The following is a 24,936-nucleotide window of genomic DNA, read 5'->3' on the forward strand; positions in this document are numbered from 1 at the left end:
AGTTGCTTTATAGTAAGTTTTGAAATTAGTAAGTGTGAGTCCTTCCACTTCATTATTCTTTTGCAAGATTGTTTTGGCTATTCTAGATCCCTTGCAATTTCATATAAATGCTAGAATCAACTTTTCAATTTCTACAAATAATATAGCTGGGATTCTTATAGGGATTGCCTTGAATCTGTAGATCAATTTGGGTACTATTGTTATCTTGACAATAGTAAGTCTTCCAATCCATGAACGTGAGATGTTTTTTCATTTATTTATATCTTCTTTAATTTCTTTCAACAGTGTCATGTAGCTTTCAGAATATGTTTTGCCACTTCTTTTGTTAAATTTATTCCTAAGTATTTTATACTTTTTGATGCCATTGTATTACACATGGAATTGTTTTCTTTCCTTCCTTCCTTCCCTCCTTCTTTCCTTCGTTCTTTCTTTTTTTTTTTTTCTCTTTTTTGAGACAGGGTCATGCTCTATTGCCCAGGCTGGAGTACAGTGGCATGATCATGGCTCACTGCAGGCTCAACCCTCTGGGCTCAAGCAATCCTCCTACCTCAGCTTCCCAAGTAGCTGGGACTACAGGCCCACACCACTATACCTGGCTAATATTTGTATTTTTTGTAGAGACAGGGTCTCACTATGTTGTCCAGGCCGGTCTTGAATCCCTGGGCTTAAGCGATCCTCCTGCCTCAGCCCCCTAAAGTGCTGGGATTACAGGCATGACCCATCACGTCTGGTCTGGAATTGTTTTCTTAATTTTATTTTTGAATTGTTCATCACACATGTATAGAAATATTACTCATTTTTGGCCAGGCACGGTGGCTCATGCCTGTAATCCCAGCACTCTGGGAGGCTGAGGCAGGTGGATCACAAGGTGAAGAGATCGAGACCATCCTGGCCAACATGGTGAAACCCCCTCTCTACTAAAAATACAAAAATTAGCCATGCGTGGTGGCCTGTAGTCCCAGCTACTCGGGAGGCTGAGGCAGGAGAATTACTTGAACCTGGAAGGCAAAGGTTGCAGTGAACCAAGATCGTACCACTGCACTCTAGCCTGGCGACAGAGCGAGACTCCATCTCAAAAAAATAAAAATTAAATTAATTAAGTAAATAAATATTATTCATTTTTGTATATTGATCTTGTATCCAGCAATGTTGCTAAACTCATTTACTCTAAAAGGTTTTTAATGGATTCCTTAGCATTTTCTATACACAAGATCATATCACTTGTGAATAGAAATAGTTTTTCATGTTCAACCAACTAATTAAACATCTACAATGCTTTTTTTTTTGAGATGGAGTCTCACTCTGTTGCCCAAGCTAAAGTGCAGTGGTGTGATCTTGGCTCACTGCCTCCCAGGTTCATGTGATTCTCCGGCCTCAGGCTCCTGAGCAGCTGAGATTACAGGCACACACCACCCCACCTGGCTATTTTTTTATTTTTAGTAGAGATGGGGTTTCACCATGTTGGCCAGGCTGGTCTTGAACTCCTGACCTTAGGTGATCCACCCGCCTCTGCCTCCCAAAGTGCTAGGATTACAACCATGAGCCACCACACCTGGCTCTATTATTCTCTCCCTCTGACATTTCTGTTCACCACTGCAGCACTCTGAATCCTGCCATTCTCCTGCTCCTAACAGGAAAAAAAAAAAAAAGAGGGAACTCACAATTGTCTTACCTAACAGAAAGTTATGGAACTTTCTGTACCTCAGATCCATCAGAGACTCCTGTGACAACCATGGCCTAATATTTTTGTTGTTGTTTATGATGGATGATACCTGAAAACTGAAACTGGAAGTTATTAAGCAGGATAAGCTATTACTAATTTAAGTTCTCTTTAGAATATAGTCCCCTATCTGAGGTAAAATCAGCCCAGATGGCAGAACTTATCTCAGTTACTATATAGAGCTCATCAACTAGCCAAATACCAGAGAGTAAACATATATACAGATAGCAGACATGCTTGGGAGGAGTATATGACTTTAGGGTACTCTAAAAACAAAGAGTGTTTCCTAACCTCAGATAGAACCCTCTTCGAAAATGAACAACAAATTAAAGAACTTATATTAGGTAGATGCACCCCTACTTCTTAGATTGTAGCTGTTATGAAAGCTAAGGCTCATGAAAAGATAGTATGAGAAGTGATAATACGAAAAAGATAATATGGAAGTGAAAGAAAATGCTCTAGCTGATTACCACGCCAAAGAAGCAGCCTTAACCAAGGCTATGTTCCTAACTGAACCCTCAAAGGATCCATCTCTGGAGGAATTCCAAGAGATTCAAAAATATCAACATTAAGGCCCTGATTCTGGAAATGAAAAGTGTTAAAAATTATAATCTTCACTCAAATAATCCCTAGTGGTCCCAAAATGGCCATGTGGTTGTGCCAGGTTTTTTCAAGTGGATATCAGCTAAATTTCTCCATTATATTATCCATTATGGTACATATGACTGTTACTATCTTAAATTAACATTGATGCAGAAACTTTAAAGAACAGCTTTTTAACAGTATTTTTAGGCTGCACACCATCTGTCAACATAGTCCTGGAAAAACTGTAAAGGTAGGACATGGCCAGGAACCAAAGTCTCAAGAGCCCTCTGGAAACTTTCAGATGGATTTTATCCAGCCTCCTCCCTTCATGATATTTGAATATGTTTTAGTTATTGTATGTTTTAGTATTGTATGTATTATATTAATGGGGTTGAAGCATTTCCTTTCTGAAAATTTGCAGTCCTTACAGCCACTAAGAAGTTTCCAACCTGGAACATCCAAACTTTTATAGCAAGTGATCAAGGCACATACACTTTAGGGGAACTGATAAATTAATAGTTTGGATATTTGTCCCCACCCAAATCTTATGTTGAAATGTAATCACTAATGTTGAGGTTGGGGCCTAGTGGGAGGTGACTGGATCATGGGTGTGGAGTTCTCATGAATGGAGTGCATTCTCATGAGATCTGGTCATTTAGGAGATACCTGCCCCCATCAACTCTTTCTCACTCCTGTTTTCACCATGTGATGTGGCTACTCACCCTTCACCTTCCACCATGATTGTAGCTTCCTGAGCCCATACCCAGAAGCTGAGCAGGTGTCAGCACTATGCTTCCTGTAAAGCCTGCAGAACTATGAACCAGTTGAACCTCTTTTCCTTACAAATTACTCAGTCTCAAGTATTTCTTTATAGCAATGCAAGAACGGCCTAATATAGAAAATTGGTATCCAGCAGTGGGACATTGCTATAAAGATAACTGAAAATGCAGAAGCAGCTTTGTAACTGGGTAACAGCGAGAGGGTGGAAGAGTTTGGAGGGCTCAGAGGCAGACAAGATGATGAGGGAAAGTTTGGAACTTCTTAAAGACTAGTTAAGTACTTGTGACCAAAATGCTTATAGTGATATGGACAGTGAAGTCCATGCTGCCAAGGTATCAGATAGAAATGAGAAACATATTGAGAACCAAAGCAAAGGTCACCCATTATGCCTTAGCAAAGAACTTGGCTGTATTATATCCATGCCCTAGGGATCTGTGGAAGTTTAAATTTCAGAGTGATGATTTAAGGTGTCTGCCAGAAGAAACTTCTAAGCAGCAAAGCATTCAAGATGTGGCCTGGTTGCTTCTAATAACCTACGCTCAGATGTGGAAGCAAATACATGACTTAAAGTTGGAATTTGTATTTCAAAGGGAAGTAGAGTGTAAAAGTTTGGGACATTTGCAGCCTGACCTTGTGGCAGAGAAAGAAAAAGCTTTACTGGGAGAGGAATTCAAGCAGGATGTGGAGCAACTACTTGCTAGAGATATTTGCATAACTAAAAAGGATCCAAGTGCTAATAGCCAAGACAATGGGAAAAAAGCCTCTAAGGCATTTCAGAGACCATTGTGGCAGCCCCTCCTGTCACAGGCCCTGAGGCCTAGGAGGACTGAATGGTTTTATGGGCCAGGCCCATGGCCATGCTGCCCTGCACAGCCTCAGGACAGTGCTGCCTATATCTGCTGCTTTAGCTCCAGCTGGGGTTCAAAGGGGCTCAGGTACAGCTCAAGCTGCCACTTTGGAGAATGCAAGCAGTAAGTTTTGGTAGCTTTCACGTGGTATTAAACCTGTTGGTGTGCAGAGTGCAAGAGTGAAGAATGCTTGTCAGCCTCCATCTAGATTTCAGAGTCTGTATGAGAAAGACTCAGTGCCCAGGCAGAAGCCTGCTGTGGGGGTGGAGCCCTCACAGAGAACCTCAACTAGGTCAGTGTCAAGGGGAAATGTGGGGTTGGAGCCCCCACACAGTGTCCCCAATGGGGCACTGCCTAGTGGAGCTGTGGGAAGGGGGCTATTGCCCTCCAGATTCCAGAATGGTAGAGCCACCAGCAGCTTGCAATCTCAGCATGGAAAAGCCACAGAGGTGGAGCTGCCCAAGGCCTGGGAGCCCACCCCTTGCAGCAGTGTGCCCTGGATGCAGGATATGGAGTCAAAGGAGGTTATTTTGGAGCTTTGAGATTTAATTACTGCCCTGCTGCATTTCAGAGTTGCATGGGGACTGTAGCCCCTTTCTTTTGGCCATTTTCTCCCATTTGGAATAGGAATATTTACCCAATGCCTATACACCCCTTGTATCTTGAAAGTAAATAACTTGATTTTTTTTATTTTTTAGGCTCATAAGTGAAAGCACTTGCCTTGTCTCAAATGAAACTTGAGACTTCAGACTTTTGAGTTAACTCTGGAATGAGTTAAGACTTTGGAAAACTATTGGGAAGGCATGAATGTATTTTGCAATTTGAGAAGGACATGAGATTTGGAGGGGGCCAAGGACAGAATGAAATGGCTTAGATATTTGTCCCCACTGAAATCTCATGTTGAAATGTAATACCAATGTTGAGGGTGGGGCCTGGTGGGAGGTGATTTGTTCATGGTGGTGGAGTTCTCATGAATGGAAAAAGTGCTTACAAGATCTGGTCATTTAAAAGTATGTTGGGGAGGCAGCCATAAAAAAGGATGAGTTCATGTCATTTGCAGGGACATGGATGAAGATGGAAACCATCATTCTCACAAACTATCACAAGGACAGAAAACCAAACACCACACGTTCTCACTCATAGGTGGGAATTGAACAGTGAGAACACTTGGACACAGGGAGGGGAAAATCACACACCGGGGCCTGTCAGTGGGTGAGGGGAGCTGAGGGTGGGGATAGCATTAGGAGAAATACCTAATGTAAATGACGAGTTGATGGGTGCAGCAAACCAACATGGCACATGGATACCTATGTAACAAACCTGTACACCGTGCACATGTACCACAGAACTTAAAGTATAATAATAATAAAACTCCAGAAAAAATTTTTTAACATTTTTTTAAAAAGTATGTTGGGGAGCCAGGCACCATGGCTCACGCCTGTAATCCCAGCACTTTGGGAGGCTGAGGTGGACAGATCACTTGAGGTCAGGAGTTTGAGACCAGCCTGGCCAACATGGTGAAACCCCATCTCTATTAAAAATGCAAAAATTAGCCAGGTGTGGTGGCATTTGCCTGTAATCCCAGGGAGGCTGAGGCAGGAGAATCACTTGAACCCAGGAGGCAGAGGTTGCAGTAAGCCGAGACTGCACCACTGCACTCCAACCCGGTTGACGGAGCAAGACTTCATCTTGAAAAAATATATATATATATATGTTGGGATGTTGGGGGAGCTAAACTATGAGGACACAAAGGCATAAGAATGATACAATGGAGCCGGGTGCAGTGGTTCACGCCTGTAATGCCAGCACTCTGGGAAGCTGAGGCAGGCAGATCACGAGGTCAGGAGTTAAGAGACCAGCCTGGCCAACATAGTGAAACCCCGTCTCTACTAAAAATACAAAAATTAGCCGGGCATGGTGTTGTGTGCCTATAGTCCCAGCTACTCGGGGGGCTGAGGCAGCAGAATTGCTTGAACCCGGGAGGTGGCGGTGGCAGTGAGCCGAGATCACGCCACTGCACTCCAGCTTGGGCAACAGAGTGAGACTTCATCTCAAAAAAAAAAAAAGAAAAGAAAGGAATGATACAACAGACGGACTTCAGGGACTCAGGGACTCAGGGGAAACGGTGGGAGGAGGATTAGGGATAATATACATTGGGTACAGTATATACTGCTTGGGTAATGGGTGCACCAAAATGTCATAAATCCCCACTAAAGAACTTATTCATGTAACCAAATACCACCTGTTCCCCAAAAACCCAGTCTCAGGTATTTCTTTATAGCATTACAAGAACAGGCTAATACAGGAACCACATAACAAAACTCCATAAGGCATTAACGCTTACTCAAAAATTATACTTCTTTTACTATCCACAATCTTCTGGAAAGCTTGGAAGAATAAATAGCATCCTTAAGTTAAAATTAACAAAATTTTCAGAAACCCTTGCACTCTCTAGGCAAAGGTACTTCCAGAATACCTTAGGGCCATTTGGTTCACTCCCCTGGGGACGTATCAGTTCTCCCCCTAAGAACTGGTAACTGGAAGGCCCACTTATTTAGGGATTTTACCTCCAATACTATACTCTACCATGCTGTATGAAGGCATGGAAAAATAGGGTAAAGGACTCAAGTACTGTCACCAACAGTCTTATCACCAACAGGTTGAGGCCACCTTCCCGCATCTTCCTAAACAGCCTCTTTATAATGTTAAATCATAAGATTTTGTCTACTGGAAGAGTCATCCAAGAAAAACTGTTTTTGAACCTTATTGTGAGGGACATTATCAGGTACCATTAGCAAAAAATACAGCAGTGAAACTCCAGGGAATAAATCAATCAAACTCTAGGGAGTCAAGTTGTACTCATTTTGCAACTAAGGAAAAAATTAAGAATTGACACAACAAGATGGCTACTCCAATAGAAAATTACAAACTAGGATTCTCCAGGGTATTCTATACATAGCTGATCTTCAGAACTATACAGATAATTCAAGACCCTCAGAATAAATTATCTTGAATAGTAGATAGCCTCTGCCCAAGATATCAGTCCAAGACGTCTGTAAAAATTCTGTTTTGTTTTTCATCTGCTTGCTTATGGTCATTCTTCTTTTCATTTTCTATAGACCCCTGGTTGTCACCCACCCACAGTGGCCCTTTGTCTCTTTTCTTTCATTTTTGTTATAGTTGTTACATCAGAACATGCTCATTCTAATGCCATTCTTACATTTTCCTAAACAGTAGCCAGTACCCTCAATCTTACCAACATTGGTTATACCATCTGTCACCAGACCACCATGATAAATACATTTGACAAGCTCTAGTCTCATCAAATGAGTCTATAGGGAATAATAGACAATGGCTTTTTCACTTGCACCTACAGAACAAATGACATTAAATAAACCCAGCTGTGGTTTTACTAGTGTCCTTCTCTCCCAGAAAAAGAACCAATTATGATAGTATATTGATCTGACTCCAGGTAATTCTAAATTTGAATCCAATGAACTTCATAGGGTGATGAATTAGTTACTTATCACCTGGAAGAGACATTAATAGGAATCCAAATTTGTAACACAGTTAATGTAAGGCCTTTGTTCCAATTTTGAGCCATGAAACAACTCCCTTTTTTTCTGGAGTTTTGTGTGCCCCTACCAGGTTCACTTCATTTTTCCCAGGACATCTAGTCTTATTTTCCCCAGATTAAGGAATAGTATTTCAAGACTTGCCTGTGTATTGAAATCCTAACTCTAGTCACCAATGCTGGAAATTCCAACTCAGGCAGGAGCTCCAAATGAGATCACCCGTGATTCTTCAGGCACTCTACTTGAGGAATTGCTTACTTACTGTTTATGTGAACAGAGCAGTGCTCCAATGGTGGGAAATAAAAAGACTGAAAAAGACCTATCACTAACTCTGGCCGAAGTTATGAATGACACCACCTCTTCCCTAGATGGAATACAGATCTGTCTCAACTTACTGGCACAAGTTGTGATGGACAATTGCATTGCTAGGATTATTTGTTGGCTAATCATGATAGCATCTGTGTCATTGCTATTACTTCTTACTCTACTTGGATTAATCAAACAGACATGGTAGAATAAGCTATACATCACCTTAAAGAAAGCACTTCTTTGCTCAATGCTTCTGTACAGCTGCTCTCTTATCAGATGATTGCCATAATGATAGAACAAAAAGATCAAGAAGATATCCTGGTACAGTTTACTACAGAGACAACTGAACAATCTCCAAGTGGTGAAGATCTGGATCTCTTGCCTTCTCTGAACTGGTCAATCTTTCTCAACAAAGAGAATGATCAAAAGGGAAGTCCTTGACAGTCTTAGTGTTTGTGACTTATTTGAATAATAACTGAATCATTTTCATATTGATTTGTTTGAGGGTGTGTGCTTGTGTAATAAAGAACTTGGGCCAGGTGTGGTGGCTCACATCTGTAATCCCAGCACTTTGGGAGGCCGAGGCGGGTGAATCACCTGAGGTCAGGAGTTCAAGACCAGCCTGACCAACATGGAGAAACCCGTCTCTATTAAAAACACAAAATTAGCCGGGCATGGTGGTGCATGTCTGTAATCCCAGCTACTCAGGAGGCTGAGGCAGGAGAATTGCTTGAACCCGGGAGGCAGAAGTTACAGTGTGCCAAGATCGTGCCACTGCACTCCAGCCTGGGCAACAAGAGTTGAAACTCTGTCTCAAAATAAATAAATAAAATAAAAATAAAGAACTTGGCTGGACTTTATCCCTAGTTCCTGAGAAATAACCTCTAGATCATTGGAATTTCCTGAGGGATACAAGTGCCTTTTACTATTCATGGTGGGCCACATCTTGTGGGGGTTCAGTCAGGATGGTGGGGAAAATTAAATGACGCAAACATTCTTGGAAGGCCTGGAGGGCTTGCTCCAGTAATAAACTTGGCTGAAGGCAGCCTTGTACTCTTAGTTAAATAAATTAAAGTAGAAAGAAAGGAATGTGGGGAGTTTACCTAACTAGTTTGTTTATTCATGTGGTCCTAAGACTAACCTTTGATTTACAGTGGGTGCTTAATTGCTTTCTACTTGGGAAGTCCACAGTGTCAATTACCATCTAGTGGTGTTGACTCAAGCCTCTGTCAATTAATCTTTACTGAATAAATGCAAGTCTCACTAGCTGGTCAGGGCAGCGGTCCCAACTGTTGATAGCACTCTGCTTGGAGTCTGTAAGCAGCCCAGACACTCAGCTGGACTGGCAAAGCAGAGTATCTGTGTGTCAGTGTACTTTATTCATCCATTGTTGGGTCAGGGTCTGCAGGACAGACCCCCGCATTTTCTGATAGTTTATGCTACAGAGGTGACTGACAGTTGGCCTCTACTTTATGCTAATGAGATAGCAGGATGGTTGCTGGTCATGCCAGAAATACCAAGCATGTAATTAGAGTTGGGGCTTTCAGGCATGTAATATCAGTAGGGAGAGGAGGGGGAGCTGGTGATTGAGTTCAACTGTGAGGTCAATGATTCAATCATTCATGAATATTTAATAAAACCCCAATAAAAACTCTGGACACCAAAACTCATGTGAGCTTCCATGGTAGGCATTTCTCTGTGCATTGTCACACATCAGTGTGCCAGCAGGGTAACATGCTGCTGGGGAGACAGAAGCTTTGCATTTGGGGTACTCCCATACTCTTCCCTATGCATCTCATCCTTGGGCTGGTTCTGATTTGTGTCCTTTTTCTATAATTGTCATCAAAAATATAGTACTCTCCTGAGTTCTGATATACATTCTAGAAAGTTATCAACCTGCAGATATCATGAGAATTCCTGAATTTGTAACCAATTGATTATAAGTAAAGGTAGCCTGGGAACTCCCAAATTCATGGCTGTTATCTGAAGTGAGGGCAGTCTTGTGGGCTACTGTATCCTTAACACATGAAATTTGGCTTAACTCTGGGTAATTGGTATCAGAAGTCATCACAGTCCTACAAAATACACTGAATTTCTATGTAACCACACACACACACACACCCCAACCTATCCCTAAAAGATGGAACAGTGCTAATCTATATTTGAATTTGAAAAATAACTACAGTAAGCAATATTACATTTTTCTAAAGAAATATTTAATTGGTAGTCTTCTAGAAAGAAGGCTTTTCATATAGTACAAAAACATGCAGTCGGAAGCACTGAGAAAACTGGGCAACATAAGAGAAGCATGAGATGTGACATGAAGCAGCTGATAGTCTATGTAAGTCAAAAATAAAATTCTAAGCACACAACCAACTGAATCGACCCTTCCACTTGGCCAAGAGCATTCTAAAGTAAACCTGAAACACTAGCTCAGGCCATGATGGGAATGGGTGGTCAGACATACCTCATTATACCTTCCTCTCTTTGGAATTCAGGCACAGTGGACCAGCATTAACATTAAAACAGAGACCTTAAGACTGACAAAAACAGGCTCTTTGTAGCAATAAGATAACATGACAGATAACAGGCCCTGAGAGAAATCTAAGTATTTTATCCTAAAATAAATTTCTCTTAAGTCTGATAAGAAACATTTACAATCTATTCTCTCTGAAGCCTGCTACCTTCTGGCTTCATCTCACAGTAAGAACCTTGGTCTCCACAACACCTTATCTTAACCCAGACATTCCCTTCTATTGATTCCAGGTCTTTGGATAAACCCACTGCCAATCAGAAAATCTTTGAATCCACCTATAACCCAGAAGGCCCTCCCTCTGTCCCTGTCCCTTCCCCACCAGCTTCAAGTTGTCCTGCCTTTCTCCATCGAACCAATGTAAATCTTACATGTATTGATGTCTTACATTCCCCTAAAATGTAAAAATGCATGAAACCAAGCTGTAGCCTGACAGCACAATTGTCTCTTCCTCTCACGTACCTTTGCCATGTTAACCATACTCGTCAGTTTGAACCCAGTGTCCTGCCCTCCAAAAATCCTTTGCACTTCCTACAAGATAAATCCTCACTCCCGTGTTTGGTAATGTCCTCTTTAGGCTGCCCCAACCTGCTGCTGCTCCTGACAAGAGCCACCTTGGGCACATGTTCTCAGGATCTCCTGGGGCTGTGTCAGACTTGTTTCTTATCAGACTTAAATCTATTTTGGCGTAAAACACTTTGATTTCTCTCAGGACTTACTGTCATGTTGTTATTGCTACAAAGAGTCTGTTTTTGTTAGTCTTAAGGTCTCTGTTTTAAGGCAAATGCTGGTCAACTGTGCCTACAGGTCACTCATATTTATCTCAGAATAAATCTCTTAAAATATTTTACCATTTGACTTTTTCCATTGTCATCTGGTTCAGGAAACAAGAAAGTGGTAAAGTGATAAAAAATTATTTAAATAGATCAAGACAGTGATACGATTTACCACAAGTCTAGATATTGTCCATTTTTAAAAACTTACACAAACAAATATGTTTATGATTACAAATGGTAAGATATGACTTCATATCAGTTTTCAAGAGAACACCTCTCCAAGGAAGGGAAATTTACACAGGTTTCTGACTGATTATGTAGGCTTTAGGTAAGTAGAGAAGGTGCCCCCGGCTGATAGAACAGCTAAGGTAAAGGTTTGCAGGCTGAGATGTGGAAAGGCATGTCTGAGGGATGACAAGAGAGCATTTGTGTGCAATGGAGGCTTCTGTCAGGAGCAGCAGGAGGTTGGAGCAGCCTAAAGAGGGCATTATATACCACACACGGGGGGTGAGGATTTATCTTGTAGGCCGTGCAAAGGATTTTTGGAGGGCAGGACACTGGGTTCAAACTGGTAAGTATGGTTAATATGGCAAGGATACATGAGAAGAGGAGACAGATTTTGGACGAAGACCAGTTACAAAATTGTGACAGATGTCTAGGTATAAAGTGATCTGGGTAGGTACAGAAAAGGGCACTGGGAAAAAAGGGAGAGACGGAGCAAGAAAATATTTGCTATTTCTGCTCCTGTAAACCTTGGCTGTCCAGGAATAAATTTCTGTGTGATCTTGACCTCAGCTGTCCAAGTACTTCCAGATCCAGATGCCTCCTGTGCATCCTACCTGCCCTGGCCAACCTTGTGGACTCTTAGACCCAGCCTGTCTGCATGGGCCCACTTTGAGCTGGTTCCCTGAATTCTGGGCTCAACTTCCTCATCTGGACTTTAAATGCTTAAAGTATTTTCCTCAGTATAAGCTAATCCTTATTAGGCAAGTATCCTTTGGTCTACGCCAGCTCCTGGTCTAGGCTTCTCCACCTGAGTTACAGAGCCAACATGGTAGGAACTTTAAAGCAGAGCCTGACAAGGTTCTGAGACCCAGTAAATGTAGGGGTAACTGTTACAGAAAATAAAAAGTGATACCAAAAATGCATAGATGGCTTGAAGTAACAAACAAAACAGGAATACTTGTTTAGCAATGGTTGGTATATGTGTAAATTTGATTTTGAAAAATGATTTTATTGAGGTATATTTACCATAAAATCTGCCCATATAAAGTGAACAATTCAATGATTTTTAGTGAAGTTACCAAATCGTTCAACCATCACCACCATCTAGTTTTAGAACATTTTCGTCACCCTAAAAAGATTCCTTGTAACATTTGCAGTTACTTTGTTTCTGAAGATCTGCCATTTCTGGACATTTCCTAAAATGGTACTAGAAAATACCTGGTCTCTGGCATCTGCCTTCTTTCACTTAGAATCACGTTTTTGAGATCTGGATTGTGCATAATACCCATATTTTAGTTGTTTTTTTTTTTTTTTTCTGAGACGGAGTCTCACTCTGTCTCCCAGGCTGGAGTGCAGTGGCGTGATCTCGGCTGACTGCAAGCTCTGCCTCCCCGATTCACGCCATTCTCCTGTCTCAGCCTTCCAAGTAGCTGGGACTACAGGCGCCCGCCACCATGCCTGGCTAATTTTTTTGTATTTTTAGGAGAGACAGGGTTTCACTGTGTTAGCCAGGATGGTCTCGAACTCCTGACCTCGTGATCTGTCCGCCTCGGCCTCCCAAAGTGCTGAGGTTACAGGCGTGAGCCACCGCGCCCAGCCTATTTTAGTAATTTTAATGTTTAAACAAGGTTTCATTTCATTTCAAAAATTCCAAATCTATTAGCATAAAGATGTAACAAAAATTGCTTTTTGCTCAATCCTAGACCACTCCATTGCCTCACAAAGAAAGGTAACATGTGCTACAGAGAAAGAAGTGCATAGAGGTGTTGTACTGCAAAGATCCAGTCTATTAATCTCCATACTACAGCTGTGAACCACAGGAAAGAGGCCCAGCCCAGTTAGGACTATAGGCCAAGGCATGTCACTTTCTGAACATCAGTTTTATTAGCTCTAAAATACGACTGGGCTAGATCATGGGTAGCTGTCTACCTTTCTCAGCCTCCATCCTCTGCACCCATGCATGACACCCTGCCCCGTCAGTAACAGCATGAGGAGGCAATGCACAAGTGTCGTTATACAAATGGCCCCACCAGGCAGAAAATCACCAGACAAGGTGATTTCTCAGCTTCTTTTCAGCTCTAGTTTTATACATCTCAAGTTGGAAAGGAACTTTCCTCACATTCATCATGTTCCCAAGGTTTCTCTTTGAGATGAATACTGAAGCTTGAACTCTACTAATGGGTTTTCCCAGTTTCACTAAATTTGAAGAGTTGCTCTAGCACAAATTCTCTAATGTACAAATTCTCTAACGTGTTTTGGTGGAACATCCACCAAAGCCCTTCCCACATTCATCACGTCACCAGAGTTTCCAGCTAGTAGGGAGAGTTCTAAGGGGTTTATAAAGCAATGAGGTTTGGCTGAAGGCTCTCCCACATTACCCACATTCACAGGTTTTTCTCAGGTATGAATTTTCTGATGCTTAATAAGGGATGAGCCCTGACTGAAGGCCTTCCTCTATTTCCTGCTTTCATAGGGCCTCTCTCTAGTATGTGTTCTTGATGCTTAGTAAAGGAAGAGATACAACTGAAGATTTTTCCATACTTACCACACTTGTAGGATTTCTCTCCAGTACAAGTTATCTGATTTTCTTAAAGAATCAGTATGTAACTGAAGGCTTGCCACACTCACTGCATTGATAAGGCTCCTCCCCAGTGTCGGCTGTCTGATGCTGAATAATATGCATCCTCTGATCAAAGCGTTCCCACATTCATTACATTCACGTGGTTTCTCACTAGTATGGATTCTCCCATGTTTGGTAAGAGAGGGGAAGCCCACCCCCTCTTGACATTGACAGGGATTCTCTTTAGTAATTATTGCCTGATGTGGAACAAGATGTGGTCTTCCCACATACATTACACCTTTAGGATCTCTCTCTGATATGAATTCTTTAAGTTCCAGTGATGTCTGCACTCCAGCTGAAAGCCCTTCTATATTCACTGAATTTATAGGGTTTTTTTTCCAGCATGACTTCTCTGATGTTTAATAAGGGATGCAGTATGAGCAAAGGCCCTTCCACACTCATTACATTTGTAGGGTTTCTCTCCAGTGTGAAATCTGTAATGTTGAGTGAGAGATGAACTCTGGCTGAAGGCTCTCCCACATTTATTACATTTGTAAGGTTTCTCTCCAGTATGAAATCTGTAATGCACAATGAGTGATGAGCTCTGGCTGAAGGTTCTCCCACATTCCCGGCATTCATAGGGCTTTTCTCCAGTATGAGTCCTCTGATGCTTAATAAGGGATGAAGTGTGACCAAAGGCTCGTCCACATTCATTACATTTGTAGGGTTTCTCTCCAGTGTGAAATCTATAGTGCAGAACAAGAGACGAACTCTGGCTGAAGGCTCTCCCACATTCACTGCATTCATAGGGCTTTTCTCCAGTATGAGTTCTTTGATGTTTAATAAGGGATGAAATATGACCAAAGGCTCTTCCACAGTCACTGCATTCATACGGCTTTTCTCCAGTGTGACATCGCTGATGGCGCCTAAGTTCTGACTGGAAGTGAAAGGACTTCCCACACTCATTACATTTACAAGATTTCTTTTCTGGGTGGGTTCTCTGAGAGTTGTTTCCCCCTAAAGTCTGCCTGAATTCTGTATCACATTTATAAGATCCTTCTCCCATGAGAATGCTGTGTTGGTTAACAAGGACTGATCTTAAACCTAAGCTTCTCCCAAATCCATTCCATTTATAATCTCTGCTAAGGGTGGTGGCAGATTTGTGAATGGTTGACATTTGTTTCAGGTGTCTCTCCTGTTTTATCTGCTGCATCTCTAACTGGCCATCACAACCGCAGGCTGCTTTCAACTTCGAGAACTGCAGCACATCTTGAATGTGTTTTTCCACTGATACTACCTGGAATAATTCTTCTTTGGAAATTCCCCAACTTGGCATTGATTCCTTGGATTTAGACCTTCTCTTCCAGTCTGTTAAAAAAAAAAAAAAAAAAAGAAGACATTCTAGTATGTAGAATGTCCTATGTAGCAAGAAAAGCAAGCTCCTATAATGAATGTGAAATAATTAAGCTTTAAAATAACACCTAAAAGGGACGTACAGATTTTTTCAATAATGGCTTATGTCTGAAGATGGTTTTGGAGTATCAAGAATGAGTGATGAGCAGATGACTGGAGATTAAGAAAATCTGAGAGATATGTGTTTAGATTCCAGTACACAAGGTAAGTCCAAAGACTAAAGATGAGAGGAGGGTAGGAAGGGTGACAAGGAAATAGACTAAGTGTAAAGGATGGAGACAAAAATCAATAAACCAAGTATAGGATCGTAAGTCACCCAGGTACAGATTCTATATTCTCACAATTTCTTCAAGCCTACATAATTGTAACAGAATTCTACCCAGTCTTCCTACCTCCAGGTTTCCTGAAACCCTTCACTTTCTTCTTTTCCAAATGCCCATTTCCTTAAGTTTCTTCCCAGTCTTAATCTTCCAAAGGCTCTCCAGTGCCTACAGGATAAACCCTTTATCTTCCACTATAGCTCTATAATACTTTACCAGGTCCTGTCCTCTTTTTCAGCAAGTGCCTTGAGCACAGAAACTGGCTGCCTTCCTGTTTCCCATATATCCACTGCCCCTCTCACCACTCTCTTTCTTTAAGACTTTGCGTACCTTTCAGGGACAAGCTCATGTCCTCCACGAAGTATTCTTTTAACACCTTAGTGCACACCCTATATTATTATATATTATGCACATATACATATAACATGTATCATATTACTCTATATGATAGGAAGAGAAACTCTCCCCTAAAGATGCCCATGCCCTAATCACAAGAACCTGTGAGTGGGTTACCTTATATGACAAAAGGGACTTTGCAGATGTGATTAAGAGCACAGACCTGGAGATGGGGAGATTATCCTGGATTATTTAAATAGGTCAAATCTAATCATGAGTGCTTAAAATCGGAGAGCATTTCCTGGCTGGGCAGAAAGATGTGTAAACCATTGTTGGCTTTGAAGATGGACGAGGGGCACTTTCAGTCAAGTAATCTGGCAGTCTCTAGAAGCTGGGAACACCCATCTGTTTATAGCCAGCAAGAAAACAAGGACCTCGGTTTTATAACTGCAAGGTATTGGTTCTGCCAACAACCCAAATGAAAAGAAAAAAGGTGCCCAGCCACTCCAGAAAGGTGTGCAGCCCTGTGGACATCTTGGTTGGAACCATGTGATACACATGCCAGACTTCTGACCTATGAACTATGACATGAGTTTGTGTTGTTTAAAGCCACCAAGTTTGTGCTACTCTGTTTCAGCCACAGTGGAAAATTAATAAAATAATAATAACAAGCACACTTCTGAAGAAGGAAATGACTGGTAATGCCTAACCAGTGGTCCCAGAGGCCAGTCAGAGAGTTTCTGAGTCAATAGGTCTTGTGTGGCTCCTGGGAACCTGAATGTTTAACAAGCTCCCTGGGACATTCTGAAACACAGCCATGCTCATATACCACTGTTAAATAAACAGATGACTAGATCCAGATGTCAGACCCTTGATCTCATTTTGGAAGGAAAAAAGATCAAGTAAGTACCAGTACAGAGGATATCAGCATCTTCCCTCTCTGCCATAACCTAGTTCCCTTTCATAAAGCCCAGCCTATCCTCTCAGGAATTTAGCACCACTTTCCTGAGCTTCAGCTCTGGCCACAGGTAAGGTTCTGGCTCATGGAAATGAACTGGCATAGACTGTCACGTGCCTCCAGTGTGCTTGGGTTACACACAGCAGTCAGGAAAGCTTTGAGTCAAGAATTCTGCTCCAAGGCATATAGCCTACCAGGTACTCTCAAGTCACCTGAGAATCAAAGGTCTCAAAGGGATGCTGTTAACAGCTGTCAAGGAGTAGTCTTTGTTCCTGGAACCACTTTTTTTGAGACTCACCTTAATCAAGCTTGAAGTGTCCTCACCTGGATCTTCGTGACATCTTCTGTCTGTCCTTGCCTGTAACCCCTTCATTTCTGGGGTGCTCAACTTTTTTGTTTGATCCCTCACTAACTCCCTTAACTCTGCTGATCTAGGATTGCCTGGCCCTATACGATTGTTGATCCATCTAACATTGACTGTGAGACATCTAGTGATGCTGCATGGCACCAATAACCCAGAAGGCATGGGCAGAGATGGGAACCAAACAAAGCATAAAGACTAGAAAAGCAAAGGAACATCTCCTCTCCTGACACCAGAAATAATTACAAAATTCAACATACCAGAGTTGAGGGCTCCTGCCAAGTGATCTCATCTTCTGAAAGGACAGCACACTGACCAAAGGCTCTGGGCTACCTCCCACCCCAGCTGGGCCTTATCATATGCAATGCTTTCACTCACTCACTCACCTGAGTGGGCTCCTGTTGAGATTTCTCTCTCCACCATGAAGGGCTCACCCCCTTCCTCCAACTGGCAGATCACATATGGTTTGGATACTAGAAGGCCTGATGGTAGAGAAGGAAAAGGATTTTGGTTGTGTGTGCCAGTGGCCAAGTCTTTGGATATTCATCTTCAAGGTGGAGAAATACTGTAGGCATGGAAAGCCTCCAGAGAACAGGCATTGTGAAAAGTTAGGAACACAGCCAGGTAACTTCCTATTTCAACTCCATAAGTAGCTGGATGTTTCCTAGAACTAGGAACAGAAATACTGTATCACTGGGCCCCAAAGAGAATGTAAATGTCTGATTCCAGACTTCCCAAGGAAACCCAGGGCCAAACTTAGCCAACCAGCCCAGACACCACTAGCTCTTAAACATCAAGGAAATCAAGAAGTCCTGCTGGGTGGGCTTTGGAGGGCTTGTGCTCACCCAGAATGGCCAAGTTCCTGAAGTTCTCCAGCATCACCTCCCTGTAGAGGTCCTTCTGAGCAGGGTTCAGCTGCCCCCACTCCCACTGGCTGAATTCCACAGCCACATCTTCAAATGTCATCAGGTCCTGAAACACAGAAGACACTCCAGTGTCCACTTATATGCTTATCAATATGAAACTGCTAGGAAATATAATCAGGGTCTCAGGTGAATCAGGCCTACAGAGACATTCTTCTCAGGTGGAGGTAAATGTAATACATTTCCTCATTTGTCAAAAGGTTTTATTCTCAATCTAGTTACATTTAATTGGAATCAATTAGAATTAACAAATGAATATGCTTTGCATTCTCAAATACACAAGGATCAACAGTTTTCTAATAAAGTATTTTTGAAACTTGTGACCTATGATTCTGACAACAATAAGGCCAAATCAAGTAATCTGGGGCTTATGATAATTTATCCTCCACCTGCCTGCCAGCACACAGTTCAGCAAAAGTAAATCACAAGTGGCTTTATGATGAAACAATAAGTTTTGTGCGTTTGACTAGCATGATCCTTTCCCCCAAAGCCTACTCATTATTCAGTTCCTAAGTTTATAAAGCTGAGCATGAGACCCTGGATCCCAGGTCACCATTATAAAGCATAATTATTCTACAGGTCCTGGCCAGAACTATCCTGTCACCTTCAATCTCAGTAATTAGAACACCTCCCATTTAGCTTATATTGTATGGCAATCCACTAAAGAGCAAAATAGGTGAAAGTAAGTACTACAAATTCCTGTTACTTTTACACCAAAGTATTTAAAAATCAAATCCCATTTAGATACTGATTCCACAGAAAAGCTGAAGTAACAATTTTATAATATAAAATCATCCAAAATAATCAAACATGAAAAATTCACTACTATAGTGACCTCTTTTGATAGGTTATATTATTTGTCCAAAATATCCACTGACCCTCCCTAAAGAATTGAGCTTCTGCCTCACCCTGCCCCAGGTGGGGCGATGTCATCTGCTTTCTCAAACTGAACGTGAAAGACACGAGCTACAGGTGAGCAAAAGCCTTCAGAGCCAGTGGGGGTTCTGCAATTGTCCTTTCCTGTCTGCCTTGCAAATGGCAAATGATCTGAGTGAAGATGTGGGCAAAGCCACAGCTGTCACGTAACATGGGCAAGAGGGAACCTTTCATGGTGTAAGTCTCTGAGGGTTTGCTGTTGCTATCATGGCATAACTAGCCTATACTGACTCCTTAAAAAACTGGTACTCACAGTGGAGTTCTGCCATAACAAAAAGCCAAAAATAGATGACACTGGCATCCAGGCCAGGCAGTGAAGAAACTTATTGGCAAGGTGGCAACCCATGTAATTTGGTGGTGAACTGTTTGGTGAAACTATTGCCTTCAGTAACTTGAAAGATGAACAATGAAAGCATGAGCTTGTGATGTTATGAGAAGAGGCTGGAAACATAACATTAGTAGTGTGAGCTGGTTGTTATTGGCTGAGTTTGACAAAGTATTACAAGAAAAAATGAGCTCAAGAGTTTGTGGTTTGCAAAACAAAAATGGAAGGCAATAGGAAATGTCCAGAAATGCTAGGGCTTGCAGGGTTGGAGACAACCAATTCTCATTTCCAACTGGCCAAAGACAATATACATCAGCTTCTGCGTGACAACAGCTAATTAAAACTCAGCCCATTATCAGGGACCAAATCATGGATGTGGTTGTCAAACCTTTTTGTTTAAACCTCTGAGTAATTTCAAAAGGCTCCCAGTAAATCTCCCAGTAATTTCAAAAGGCTCCCAATAAAGGCTTTCAGTGGGACCAAATTGTTCAGAGTGAAAAAAGTATAGATTTCCCAAGGAAATCCAAAAACTCCACAATTAAGGCTAAAGAAGGGGGCATATTTCAAAAAGAACTGTGGGTCAAACCACTGACACATGGAGCCAACTGGAAACAAATTCATAAAAAGCTGATTAAGTTTTTTAGAGTTGCACTTAAAACAATCCTGGGCCACCAACCTACTCCAGCAGGATGAAAAAGCTGCTTTGCCCCCAAGAAAGCTTATTCTCCAGTATCATCTTCATATGACACCAAGGAGGTATCAAAACGAAGGAACTTCCCAATGGCAAAGCCAACAGCCAAGGAAAACACTAGGCCAGGGAGCTCCACCCAGGGAGCAGAACCAGGGTGTAACCTACAGACTTTCCCACTCCCAAGACCAAGGGTCCTCACAGTGTCTGTCCAGTGGAATTTCACGACTGTTATGGACCCGGGACTGACTCTTCCCATGCTTCCCTCTTCTGCAAAGGAGTGTCTACCATGGCCATCCTGTCCCCATTGCTCATTGTATATTGGATATATGGATTCAGGTAATTGTCCTTTTAGTTTATAGGTATCCAGACCCACAGGATCTCCATCCAGACTATCGCGCCATCCAGGACTTTGATCATGATGCTCTGACTGGATGCAGCTCTTGGGTTATTTCTCTTGGAGGGCATTTTGTGTGCAGGAGAGAGGGAAGTGAACATCTATGGGTAAGAAAATATACAGTGATAGATGAATTATTCGCTTAACATAATCCCTGCCCTTCCCTTTAGGATCCTCACTCTAGGAAGCTAATACTTCCCACTTCATTAACATTAGGCTTGGCCACAGGACCTGCAGCAGCCAGTGGGTTGTGAGCAGAAGCCACATGTGCCGCTTCTGAGTGGAAACCCAAAGAGCCATCCCCGGGTTCTCACACTGCTCTTTCCCTCTGATACAAGAAGAGCATATCCCAGAGGGAACTGACCCTTCAGCCTGAAGCTCAGAGAGAAGAGGGTGTGGAGCAGAGTCACAGTCAGCCCACTACTGACAAAGACAGCAGAAAGAAGAAAGGCACTCTTTCTAACTGCGAGCCATTGAGATGTGGGGCTGTCATTACCACACTGAACCCACCTAAGTGCTCTGATAAACCTCTGAATGATGTACATCAGGGCCAAAAATATTTAACTGCTATTTATGACTTTACTGATTAAATTCCTTACTAGGGGGGTTCCCCCTTTTGGCTTGAAAGTTAAATGTCAGTGTCTATCATCAAACCTGAATCCCATGCCTATCCTGGATGCTGGGAAACCCCGGAGGCTGGCATTTGTACCCCTCCACATCCAGCTCACTAGAGACAAACCTGAATCCCCCCTGAGGGCCAGTCACCATGATCCCTGATGCCAACAAGGATTAGGCAGTTACCATCTGCCAGCGGAACTGCCAGCGGACTCTAACAACAACATGAGGCGGCTCTATGATTGAGTGGTTAAGATCTCAGAGCCAGACAGCCTGGATGTAAAATTGGGGTCCCTTCCTCACTAACTAGATAACCATGAACAAGTTACTTTCTCTCTCTGTGCCTTGACTTCTTCTGTTAACCTCTCCACACTTTGGTTACCATTCTTCAAAATGGTAACCATTTATGGGAATGTTTTAGAGACAAAATGAATTAGTATGTGTAAATTGTAGAGAATAGTTCCTGATACAGGTTTTGTTCTCCATAAATAATAACTATTTTCATCATCATTAACATTATTATAGTCTTCATGTTACTGCTGCCTGCTTAACATGTTACTGGTGGCAAACCAATGCATAGAGAGGTTAGGTGACTCATCCAAGGCCACACAGCCTGTAAGTAGTAAAGTTAAGTGTGCCTCCTCCCTTATCCAGGGAGATAACATCTGAACAGGGACCCAGCTTCAAATAGCCTGCCCACCTGTCCATACCCTCAGAACCTGCTTGTCCCCAATTCTCCATGAGCTTTCCCAACCTCTCCAGAACAGGCCGATTCCCCTTTTCGTGAACCTCGATGGAAAGGCCTGTCTGTGCCACTCCATTTGGCATCAAACCATTCACATCCTGTTACTGGTGGCTGCGTCCTGGGTGTCAGGGTCCTCTTCCACTGTGGCTGTGACACTCTTTCAAGGCCAGGGCTGTCACATTACCTGGTGGTCACCACAGTGCCCTTTCTAGAAATATGTCAGAGTAAGCCCAAACGATCTGAGTGGGTGCACAGCAAGAAGAGAACACCCCGGACAGGTCAGGGAGCCATCATTCACTTGGATGGGCTCAGCCTCCTGCAGAGACAGCATTGGGTCAGTTCCCTTAGTGAAAAAAGAGGCTACTTTTTGGTGAAAAGTAGGCAAAGCTAACCATCGTTCAGGCATTTGAGGAAAAATTAAGAATACAACTCACCCGAGGCCTGGCTTTCAGGAATGAATTGGTTGTTCCCTCTTCTCCTGGGAATCTCTCTGGAGGAAGAGCAGGATTCTGAGAAGGGGAAGCTGGGAAGGTAGAAGGAGACATAAGGGAAGCTGACCCAGCCAGCACACACAGCTCTCAGACTTCCCAAGCCTGAGACCCAGAACAGCTCTGAATGTCACCTCCGTTGTTCTGAGGACACCAGTGGATCAAAAGGATCTGAGAGGCAGCTTCTAGCCTTCAAACATTGAGAGAAGTGCCCCTGTACACAGCTGCATGAGGCTCCCACCTGTCCACAGCCCACATCAGTCTACAAGTGAGTGAAGTGTGACCAGTCTGGCCATACCACTGAAGTTATTTACTGGGCATACTGTATGCAGGTCATCTCCTAGGACTTTTGGAAATATAAATATGGAAAAGAACTTCAAGGAACTTTAAATCTAGCCTACAGGTTAACAATTACACAAGACCCAAGGCAAGGCCATGCAGGATTATGAGGCTTTAAGGGGAGGAAGTTACACCTCTCCCCTCATCCTTGGGAACCCAGCTCAGAGGCCACCTCTTTCTGAGAAGCTGCCCCTGGTGTTCCCAAGCTCTGTTAGGTCTCTGCAACACACTTGAGAGCTCCTTCATTATAAAGCTTTGCATCATACTGTTCATAAAAGCCTTAAAACAAACAAAAAAACTAACCCAAACCATGCCAGAGAAGTAGTTAAGGCTAACAACATGGGTGTAAGCATAGCACAGTTAGGCATTCCTCAAGCTTCATGTGTGTGTGGATCCCTGAGGATCTTGTTAAACTCTGGCTCAAGACTTGCTAAGACACTGTTTGAGGATGTGTGGGGCCCCAGAGTCTGCAATTCTAGAGAACTTCTGGGCAATGCCTCTGCTGTTCCCAGAGCCACACTGATTAACAAGGGTATAAAGGAAAAAAGAGGGGGTGGGAAGCCCACGGACTGGGCCCAGTTCTTCCACTGGCCAGTTATGTGTCCTTGAGCATGTGCACTGAAGGATGAACAGTCGGATTAAAATGCCCACCTGGTTAGAGATAGGACGTTCTAAACTTAGGACTGGCTTAAAACCTCCTGGGTCACCTGGATTGCCCTGCCCCCAACGCTATTGGGGGAAGGGGCTCAGAGGAGATACCCACCATGTACACTGCTGACCTTATACACCGCTGAGCTAGAACGACTGGAAGAACCTTATTAGTGAGGTGATTAAGGAGGTGGATGACAAGGCTCCAAATGGCCCTATCGTCCTCTGATCCCTGGCCAAGGGCCACTCCCTCTTGGGTTTGCTTGCCCTCTCCCTGCCGCAGCAGGAAGAGATCAGATCCTCTTCTGCTCTCCTCTGGCCATTGGGACAATTTTCCATGGCCATCCCCTCCACCTCCGCCACGGTCATCTAGAGACCCCTGCCAGACCCAGGAGACTGCGGCTTCAGCCTTCTGGGTCTGGAAGGTTAGATGTCGCCACACGGAAGGCAGATGAAGTACAGCCTCACCCTTCAGTGGGATTCCCCGGCCTCTTCCTGGGGTCCTCCTGATATCGGGCTCGGTACTAGCTCCCCAAGAGGGCTCCTGGCCCTCTGCACGCTCCAGAGCCAAACCTGATGCTGTGGAGTCCATAGCTGGGGCTAAGGAGCGGCGTCCTTTCACTAGGTCCAAATCTCTGTCTTTCGGCCACAGCCCTGTGGTCCTCCCGAGGGTTCAGGGAGCGGGACGCAGGCTGGGGCTGCCTGGGGGACACGGGGCATCCCCACTAGGCGCGGCGGGGCCAGCGGACCTGCAGGGCCCAGAGCAGGGCCGGCAAACCCCGGTGCGCCCAGCGCGGCGCACTGCTGCCCGGGGTCGTGCTCTTCCCTCGCCAAGTCCGGCCTCCTACCCCCGGCTCGGCTCCTCCTCAGGACCAGGCTCTGGAACCCAGCTCCCACGTGGATCCACACGCACAGTGGGCTCAGACTACCAGGAGACACGGCCACAGCCACGCCCGCGACGCGAGGGCCCAGCGCTCTTCAGCTGCCCGGAAACAGCAGGGATTCGGTGAGAGCCTCACAGGAGCAGGGACCGACTCTATCAGCCCGGTTCGCCCCGCTGTCCCTGCCTAGCTCCGGCCTGCACAGTCCCTAGCGGGGGGCACTCGGAGGGACACACCCAGCTCTGTAAGGGGCCGGGGCGCGGGCCCAGTACAGGTCTGCGCGCCCGCAGTCTCCGAACGCTCACAGGACCAGGCCCCGCCCGCCACCCCGCGCCAGCCCCCGCCCGCCACCCCGCGCCAGCCCCCGCCCGCCACCCCGCGCCAGCCCCCGCCCGCCACCCCGCGCCAGCCCCCGCGTCCGCCCCGCGCCAGCCCCCGCGTCCGCCCCGCGCCAGCCCCCGCGTCCGCCCCGCGCCAGCCCCGCCTCCCGAGGCCGTCCCGAGCTTGCGCAGACGCGGCCGCCGCCGGGGCCCTTCAGAGCCAGCGCCGGTGGCGGGGTGCTGGCGCGGCGAAGCTGGAGAGGCGGGGCTCGCGGGCGCCTGTAGGACCTCCGCTGGGAGGGGCCGTGCTCGCCGGCCACGCGCCGGTTTTC

General features: G+C 44.2%; 1 protein-coding gene across 10 annotated transcripts in view, besides 1 other annotated feature; it reads right to left on the reverse strand.

Moving 5' to 3' along the window:
• The window catches only part of ZNF514 (zinc finger protein 514), a 36,744-nt gene extending 11,884 nt beyond the window's left edge, over window positions 1-24,860 (reverse strand). For 3 of the 10 annotated variants that reach the window (XR_001739001.2, XR_007083281.1, XR_923048.3), the window contains exons 1-5: window positions 23,872-24,597; window positions 22,363-22,451; window positions 18,145-18,271; window positions 17,686-17,781; window positions 13,897-15,279 (exon numbers count right to left, since the gene is read on the reverse strand). Coding sequence is in view for 4 of the 10 variants with exons in the window: in NM_001318005.1 (NP_001304934.1) it covers window positions 14,294-15,279; window positions 17,686-17,781; window positions 18,145-18,271; window positions 22,363-22,451; window positions 23,872-23,995 (1,422 nt within the window). In the remaining 6 variants the exon portion in view is untranslated. The other 7 variants (XR_001739002.2, XR_007083314.1, XM_047446081.1 and 4 more) reach the window with 7 other exon arrangements.
• Window positions 24,687-24,936: a silencer, noted in NCBI's record as "silent region_11740". NCBI's record gives its function as "represses an Ori minimal core promoter by ATAC-STARR-seq in GM12878 lymphoblastoid cells {active_cell/tissue: GM12878}" and the evidence as "EXISTENCE:reporter gene assay evidence [ECO:0000049][PMID:35858748]".

The sequence above is a fragment of the Homo sapiens genome, chromosome 2 (assembly GCF_000001405.40).
Source record: "Homo sapiens chromosome 2, GRCh38.p14 Primary Assembly".
Classification (NCBI taxonomy): Eukaryota; Metazoa; Chordata; class Mammalia; order Primates; family Hominidae; genus Homo; species Homo sapiens.